The following is a 9,112-nucleotide window of genomic DNA, read 5'->3' as shown; positions in this document are numbered from 1 at the left end:
TATTAAATTTTAATAAAATAAAAATGCATTTGCTTGACAATAGTGATTTGTTCTGATATGGAATGCCTGAAGTAATAAAGCCACTTGGTGATATATTCTATTTCCCTTATAAATATCTATAAGGGACATGACTTTCAATAGTGTAAGCCAGTTCTATTTCTCATCAGCCTTGATATTGTTAAGTATTTTGCTAGCAACATGCAATGGGGAGTTGTGCTCCAGGACCTTCTGCTGCTCCATTTTCTTTTCATTTGTTTTTTTTCTTTTTAGAGTAAAGTGAAAGCAAGTTTATTTGATAAGAAAAAAAAAAAGGCTATCCACTGGCAGAGCAGCTTCCATTCTCTTAAAGTGATTTTAATTTATCTTAAGCTATTGATAAAATCAAGTAATTTAGAAAATTCTAGAGATGACATTGAAAGCAACAATAATGTACTCCTTAGAACTGAGTAAGCAAAGTCCTGTGTCATGCTGCCACATCATGTTCACAGAACTTGTGGCTGGGTGATCACATGCAGTTATGACAGCATAACTGCAAGGGTATTTTCAATATGCACCAGAAAGAAAGTAATATTTTCCCCACAACACAGATGCAGAAGAGCCTAAAGGAGTCTGTTCTGCAGTGAGTCTATGCAACTCTACCCTCAAAATCTGACAGGTTGAAGAAAGAAGTTGACATATCCAGCTGCTCAGAAAGAATCATTCAATGGGGACTTATGAACAGAAGCCATGCTTGTGCCTCAGGCAGTGGAGAGACAAAATGGCGGATCTCTGCACCATTAACCCCCAGCCCAGGCATTATATATCATAGGAAAAAAAATGTAGGACAATTGAAGTTGACCCCTTATGGAAATGCAAGACTGCTATGTGAATCTGCCTAAGGTCAGGATTTGCAGTTAGTACAAGCTCTTACATAAGGAACTATAGATATACTGGAAATATTAGAGGCATTCCCAGAACTGGGGTTAATCAGAAGTAGACATGGAAGATGAGCATCCAAGATGGAGTTGCTCTGCCCTCTACAGAGTAGAGTAACTGTATTCCAGGAAATCCAATAAAACTTGACAGGGGATGGATTAAAATTCTCAGGTCATAATTTTATGTGTGAACATGCAAGTCACTACCAACCATTCAATTTGTGGGGATTGTAAATCTGTTAATTTGCCTATAATCCCTCCTCCTCATAGTACACCATATGTCACTTCAATATTTCAATAAATTATTACTGTCCATTTTAAAGTGAGACCTTCATTTCAGAGATTTCTGATTTATTTTGATATAAATATTGGCTTTGCTTCAGTAGAAGAGATTTCCAAGAAGAACCAAAGATTAGAAATTGTCCTATGAGAATCCTATCATGTTCCTAAACTGGGATTGATTAGTCAAGGGATTAGTAATTCTGTATCTCACAAAGAATTCTTAGAGAATAAGAATACAAAATCTTGGCACCAAGTTCCTTCCCCTTTACTCTTAACTATAATCATGTTTATCATCTTACATTTAGCTCTGTTCTAAATTATAGAGTTTATATTCTTGAGGACATTGAGATGCTTCAGAGTTTTTTAAAAAATGTATTCTGTTTTGAGTTACACAAAGCAATGAACATGTTTCCATATTTGGAGAAGAAATTTATAAAATTCATAGAGAAATATTAAAACATGTTGGCTCATTGCAGGTGACAAAAAAAGAGAAAATCAGATCATTATCTTACATTCAGTGTTTAAACCTAAAGGAATATCATGATTTAGATTAAATCCACATTACATTTCCTAATCTGAAACAAAAAAATAATAAAGTCAACATTATTAAATGACAAAATAATTCTGGCATATGCCTCAATCTGTGGGTGTTAATTTATGTATTGTTAAAATTCCTATTCAATATTGTAGAGTCAGTATTAAAGGAGAGTATTCTCAATGAATATTAGGTTTGGGGCGGATATTTAATTACAAATGTGCTGAGATTGTGAGGTAATTTTTTAAAGTCCTGTTATTTAAGACATAACTATGACTCCTGAAAACAGAGGTTTGTCTTGGCTAAGACAGCATGTATAGTTTCTTTAGAATTATGCAGCAGAGTAATCAATAAATTAAAGACACATATGTAGAGTGGAGCTTTCACTATCATTCTTTCTACCCGCCCTTGGACTTAGAGAATTTTGGGCTGGGTCTTTGGAGAAGATTAGTCCCAGACATTTTTCCGTAATTAGCTCTAATTCATTGCTGCTTCTATAGCTGTAAGACTGATCTAAAGCTGGTCTTCAGTGAACACATTCTACTGGGAATTTCCAAACATTTCTTGCCAGAATGCTTAAACCAGCTTCCTAACAAAGTTAGTCCCCTAAGATCAACCTAGTCTAGACTCATTATACTCCAGGGAAGGCCAAGAACTCTGACAGGTAGGAATGCACTGAAGTGACTTTAAAATATCTCTTCTGGCAATGATCCATATTCACATTTTTTTAAAAGAAAATGATGCTGCTCATATACAGTTCAAGTAGCCATACCCTATTGACAAGTAGAGACTATTCTCAATTGGGCATACAAAGAGTATAGAAAGATAAAAATTAATATTACACTATGAATACAAAATATTTTAAATAAATATTTTAATTCTATTGTTGACATTTACAAGTAGAAAGCATACAGTATGTTACAAATATCAAAATGAGAAAAATATGAATGTTACATAAGTAACAAATATAAAAAAAGTATTTTCTTACCTTCCCTGAAAGTAAGAAAACTATTCAGCATAGGAAAATATCAGTATCAAAAACACAGCTTAGGTGTAAAAAAAGTTTTTACACAGTATTTTAAAAAAATGATCTACAAAATGACAAAGTAAGTGTTGAAATCTGATTTCATATAAATTATAAAAACTGGGTACTTAGAGTAAATGTTATCTGGTTGGAAAATAAGTCCAATCATAAGCTTTCCTTAGGTCAATTCTTTAAAATATTAAAAGCATACGAAAAATTTTCAATAAATAACTTTTAAGAGTGTTTCTTAGAAGTGCTGCTGAGAACATCATTCGCATAGCAAGGTGGCAGTGTTCTGGGGACAACATGCAATCATTCTGTTCCTAATGGAAGCCTCATGAAAGTCAGGAGACTATAATCATTTGCTCAAGGATCCAGAAGTTTTAAGACAATTCTATAAGAAAGCGTTAAAGTGCTGAACAAAATGACTTAATTTCAGTACCCACTGTCATGTAAAACTTACTCAAATACTGAGACATTTCTGAGCAACATCAAATACAGAAACTATCATTCTGAAAAGTGTTAATATACTTAATCTTTCATTCCACGATAGGAGGGTTCCTTTTTACACTTTACAAGGATTGGTTTAACATCAAGAATCTTGCAATGCAAAATATAATTATAATAATACAGTTGAAACAATACACATACGCCACTGGGAAAGCACAAGTTCTTTTCTGCAATGGTAAAGGTATCAATTTTTAAAAATCACAAATCAAACACTGGTAAATAAGAAAAATTTTCCAAATGCTGCATGCCACATAACTAGTTACAAAACACAATGCATGCAGGGAAATAAATTCAACCACACATGTTTAAATTAAGAGTTGTTGTGAGTCTGTTTCAGCAGCATTGTGGTTATTATTTTTAAAGTTTTCCCTCCACCACTAGTCCATACTGGCCTGTTTTTCAAATGTGACCCAACCTAGTCAGCAACTTTACAATGGTTTGAGTATTATTTCTTGTTTTTATATTTTATAGTGCCAGTACATAAACTTCACACATACTGTTCTGCTTCCCCATCTTTGGGGACTGGTTTAGTTGTCCCAGCTTTGCCTTCTTCATTTGCTGCTGCTTTTTCTGGAAGAGATGCCAAATCTTTAAAAACATCTACATAATGGCCAAAGCCAGGGCCCCAGTTCAAAAGGTTGTCCCAGTTGAAAGTCCCTGCTTGCTGCCCTAGCTTCATGGGCAGTGTGTTGTCAGCAGTGCCTGGTGCTGCTGCCTGGGTGCCCACAGGTCCTCCCTCGGCCCTGCGACCGTGGTACCTTCGAGGCTTCAGTCTGGCTCCATAATTATCTTCATCATCTGCATCAGATTCATTGACTTGAGATAATTTGGGCATTCTGGAAGTATATACCATTGGCTTCTCCCTGTCATATTCCATTTCTGAGCAAGTGAAAGATTCATGGGAGTCACTATCAGAAGAGGATTCTGGAGCTGGAATGCCATCCGCTGGATTCCTTGTTCTAGACAGTGGCCTTCTGCAGTCCTCCTCTGAAGAAGACCTCCCATGGTCTGCACTGCAGATACTTGGGTTTCTAGGGCGAGGTGTGTTGAGCCTCTCCACTTCTTCAATAGAAAGTCCGACTGGAGGAGAAGATTCCAGTGGAATCTGCCCAATCGGCTGCTTTAGGCGACTCCCTGGTCTAGAACCATGTGATGCCATGGCCTGAGGACTCTTGCTTCTCCTTCCCAGCCTTGTGGCATAGTTGAAAATGCCAGGTTGGCAGGTGTCACCATGCATTTCCAAAGTATTACCATCCCTTATAGGAAGATGCAATTCCCTTGCTGGGCTGTTTCTATAGAACGTAGAAGATTTGGAGAAAGGGGCTGGACTGTGTCGAGACAGAGGGTTGGGAGTTGGGCATGCTGAGTGGCTTAGGGAGCTGGTTCTCAAACCTTGACCATATGAAGGCTGGTAAGTCAAACTGCTTGCTCCTAAGGGCATGGGGGATTGCCTTGCAAAGCCTAGGGGACTGTGCCTCTGGATTGAAAATTTTGGTGTGTGGCTGCGGAACTGCTTGTAGTGTTGAATGATGTCTGCATCCGAAGGGGCGATGCTGCTGGCGTTGTCAATGTCATAGTGCTCTATCTCCTGCTCTGGAGATGCCAAAGGGGCGCTGGGGATGGTTTCTGAGTTGTGAGGAATATCAGTTTCATCATAGATAAGGTAGGGGTTTTCCCTTTCAATGATATCTGGTTTTGGGTTCCCTTCAGGCTGCTTCCTCACAGTCATGTCATCCCCATAGGGAGGGATATTGTCAGGGTCATCAAAAGCAACGTTCTCACTTCCCTTTTTCTTCTTCTCCTTCGGTTTCTTCTCCTCTTTGGGATTTTTGGCCTTCTTCCCCCTGCACTGGTTACACAGGATCAGGCTAAGGACCAGGAGGGCCAAGACGGTTGCGCAGCTGCCCACGATGGCAGGCACAGCCCACAAAGGCAGAGAGATCTCTTCAGGGCCCTGACTCAGAACACAGACATGCCCCGCAGGACTTCCAGCTTTGCACACCTTCCCCTGAGGACAGAGGACGCCAAGACAGGCCACCACCATCTCACAGGTCCTTCCCGTGTGCGAGTCTGGGCAGCTACAGGTGAAGCCGGAGTGCAGGCCTGGCTCACAGCTGCCACCATTCTGGCACGGGTGGGAGGCACAGTCCCCAGGAGGGACACACCTGTAGGCATACCACTGATTAATGCACAGCAAATCACCCCAGCAGGGGTTGCTGGCACAAATGTTCGGGCCACGGCAGCCAATCTTCACTGAGGGATCTGTTTTTGAGATGGAGGCCAAGCTATGCTTCCCGCTGAAAGGAAGACTTTCTCCACCATACCACATAGAAGCAATGCAGCCATCAAAACCTGCTGGGAGAAGAAGAAGGAGTAAGGCTTTTTACAAAAAAAAAAAAAAAAAAAAAGAGCTTATACTACACTGCTGGGTTCTTGTAAAGAGAAGCTCCACAATCACCTCATATGAATACATGAATACAGAAACCTCAGTCTCAGAACCATCATCCAGCTGAAAGATAATTAAGCTGTGCATCTTATAACTTAGCAAGGTGCGTTAAGATTACCATGACCAAACATGGGTCAGATTGCTTGAATCCCACTCATTCTGAAGATTTATGAATGACTTGGGCAGGCTGAATTTTCTTTTTCTTACTCATTTATTTATCAATTTCCTTCCTTTTTACATCCCATATACCAAAAATTGCATACATACAAATAAAATATATATTTTTTAAATTTGTAAAGAACATGAAATAGGCCAATGGCTTCAACTACTAAATCATGCATTCCCATTGAAGGTGATAATACACCAAAGGTGTGGAACATAGGTTCTTGGGGAGCAAAACAAAAAAATCTTAGCTATTACAATGGTTTGTGGGCCTCTAAAAGGCAGATAAAAACATACCTCTGGTGTTAACATTTTATGACTTGGGGATGGCAAAGTTTAGACTATATTAAGTGTCTCCTTAGGGGAATGATAAAGATAAAATGCAAAGTTAAGAAACACTTCATTACACTTGAGTGTGTTAACAGTGCTGATATTCCTATCTCAGGGCCCAACAATCTATTTTGACACTACAAAAAGCGTAATTTCCATTGGTTTGTTTTCTCACAACATTCTATAATAACCATATAAAAAGGACTTATGACCTGGACTTTAACTTTTATGCCTTAAATCTATTAGTCTCACATGCATTTTTTTCCTCTTATTTAATGCATCATTCTACCATAGTGACATTCTCATTCTTGATATATTTTTTCCATGAGCTTTTGTGACATCTTTTCTTTTTGTTCCTATACTCCTGATTTTCTTCCTATTACTTAGTCTTCTTTTCCGACTTATTCTCCTCTACATAACCATTAACTCTTACGGTTAATCAAGATGACGTCCCAGGCTTTCTTTTCACTCTACGCCCTCATGTTAGGTGATCACATCCATGTCCAGTACTTCAGTTACCTGCTTGACACTGACCACTCTTAAATATATATTTCCAGCTAAAGTCTATTTCTGATTTCCAGCCCATCCATCCAAAGGATTTTCTCAAAGATGCTTCAAATCCAAAATGTCCCAAACCAAATCTAATATTTCTCAGACATATGCTGCTTTTGGAGGGTTCTGCAGTTTCCTCTCTTGCTGACCTACCCTTCTTTGAGTTGAGAAGTAGAAACCTCCTTGAATTTTACCATAATCACTAACAGTTTGGTTGATTTTAGTTCCCAGAATATTTCTTGCCTATCCATTTCTTTCTAACTCCTCAGCCACCACACTAGTAGGAGCTCAGAAGACATCTTGCCCAGATCCCAACTCATTTCTGTAGATCCACTCGTGTCCTCCTCCAATTCATTCTCCATGCTGTAGCCTGAATGATCTGTAATATTACTGCATATCTAACTTGATCCTACTGTGATTAAAGTTTTCAATTACTTCCCATTGCTCTGTAAATAAGACCAAAACTGCAACATGGTCAGGAAGTTGCTTCATTCTCCAACTTCATCATTTGCCTATGATGTTAGCCTCCAATGTGTTGTCTTCTATAACTTTGGCTTAAACGATTTCTTTAAAAAAATTCCTATCAACATAAATTAACCTTTCGTACACTTTCATCCTCCTCATCATTCAGATTTATGTATACATGTCAATTCCACAGCAAAATTCCCCTTCCTTTCTCTTTTTTCACTATATTTTAGAATTCTACATTCTTCATTTGTATTATTTATCACACATTAGAATAATGCAGTTACTTGTGTAAGAATTTGATTAATGTTTGTCTCCATTAATGGTCTATGAAGAGAGTGGCTGTGAATGAATAAATAAATGAACAAATGTATATGAAATGCTTGGTGGACAAGCAAAGCATCAAAACACTATGGACTGAATTACAACCTTGGTAAGAAAGATGCAAGCTCTCGAGAAAGTGGTGGCTAATAGTTTATTACAAACTTTCTGAAGATAGTTATGACATTCTTAGGATATTTATAATTGATATTATCAGACATCAAACTACTTTTTTAAACATAAATTTTATTGAATGAAATTGTTCTGTATATGAGATTCATGTTAAATGTGTAGTCTTGCCACAAGAAAAAGCAATTACTTTTTGAAGAACAATTTTACTTCCCTTGTGACTCTACTTAATAAAGGCATTTACCTGTTTGGGCATCTCGATGTGCTTGATTGGGTGGAATTCCTCCAAGTGATATAGTAAGCACATCAAGGCCACCGAAGTCCTGAGTAGGGTGGATAATATCTCTGTTATATATTCTGTCAACAGACAATACTGTTGCTGTTCCATTTTTCCCAATTAGAAAAGTGTGCCAGTGGCCGTCTGCAACATATACTTCAGGAATATTTCTCTCCACTTTCCCAGCAATTCCTGCATCGGATGTAAAATATACTTTGCCATTCTTAATCTGTAAAACATATTAAAAATAGTATGCAATTAAAATATGGTATGCTTAAATAAAAATCATTAACAAAACTAAACTTAAATTTTTGACCAGTCCACAGCAGATAGAATAGCTGAAGAATCTGGTTGTATTAGAATATACTTACACACTTTGTCTCTAATTTTAGGCAACATGTACTTTTACATTTAAGTTTCAATGGTTTTCAACGTATTCTTATATGTATACCTAATTTCTCAAAACTTGATGAATTATTTTCCAGAACACAATTGAAATAATAAAGGGGCGAATGTCCATTTAAGATAATTAAATTATACCTTTTTAAATTATTTGTATTCCAATGACAACCTGCCATTGGAGTGTGTTATGCTGGTTCGTTTAGTAAAAGGCCCATAGTACTAAAAAATTGTGAAAACCACTTGCAAAAAGAAAAAGAATGCTCAGCTAAAAGGGAAGCATAGTTTAAAAATAAAGATGAAAATAATTGTTTTACCTCTCATCTTTTACACACAAATTTTAGGAAAAAATGATGCCTATTGTTTATATCATTTATTGAGATCAAAAACTATGATGAACAAAGAGTGAATTCTTAATGAGGTGTCTGGGCAAGCCTTCACTTTGGCTGTCTTTTACAATTTATCTAAAGGATATTTGGTTTATTTTATTTTGTCCAGGAGAACATTGGGTAACAGGGTGCTCCCACTCCAGTTTCCAGCTACCGAGTTTCCAGTATCCTGAGTAGACCATTTTAGAAAATGAGATAATTTATGAGGCAAGATGAACATTTGGTTCAGGGAGCATAATCCTGTTACCACTGCCAGACAGAGCTGGTGTGTTGGCAGGGGGATGCAGTGGCACTGTTCCTCAAATAACGGGAATGAAAAGATGGATCAGTTTATTTTGTCACTCAGATCAAATGCTATTTCTACATGTAACAAACAC

At 37.5% G+C, this 9,112-nt stretch overlaps 1 protein-coding gene across 6 annotated transcripts in view; it reads right to left on the bottom strand.

Moving 5' to 3' along the window:
- FAT4 (FAT atypical cadherin 4) overlaps nt 2,589-9,112 on the bottom strand; it is a 177,978-nt gene continuing 171,454 nt past the window's right edge. For 4 of the 6 annotated variants that reach the window (NM_001438396.1, NM_001291303.3, NM_024582.6 and 1 more), the window contains 2 exons: nt 7,915-8,176; nt 2,589-5,620 (listed from right to left, as the gene is read on the bottom strand). In NM_001438396.1, the coding sequence (NP_001425325.1) occupies nt 3,753-5,620; nt 7,915-8,176 (2,130 nt within the window). In that variant the 3' untranslated portion in view covers nt 2,589-3,752. The remainder of the gene's footprint in view (nt 5,621-7,914; nt 8,177-9,112) is intronic. The other 2 variants (NM_001438397.1, NM_001291285.3) reach the window with 1 other exon arrangement.

Source organism: Homo sapiens, chromosome 4 (genome assembly GCF_000001405.40).
Source record: "Homo sapiens chromosome 4, GRCh38.p14 Primary Assembly".
Lineage (NCBI taxonomy): Eukaryota > Metazoa > Chordata > Mammalia > Primates > Hominidae > Homo > Homo sapiens.
The sequence above is the reverse complement of the archived record's forward strand: the minus strand, read 5'-3'. Positions and strand labels throughout refer to the sequence as shown.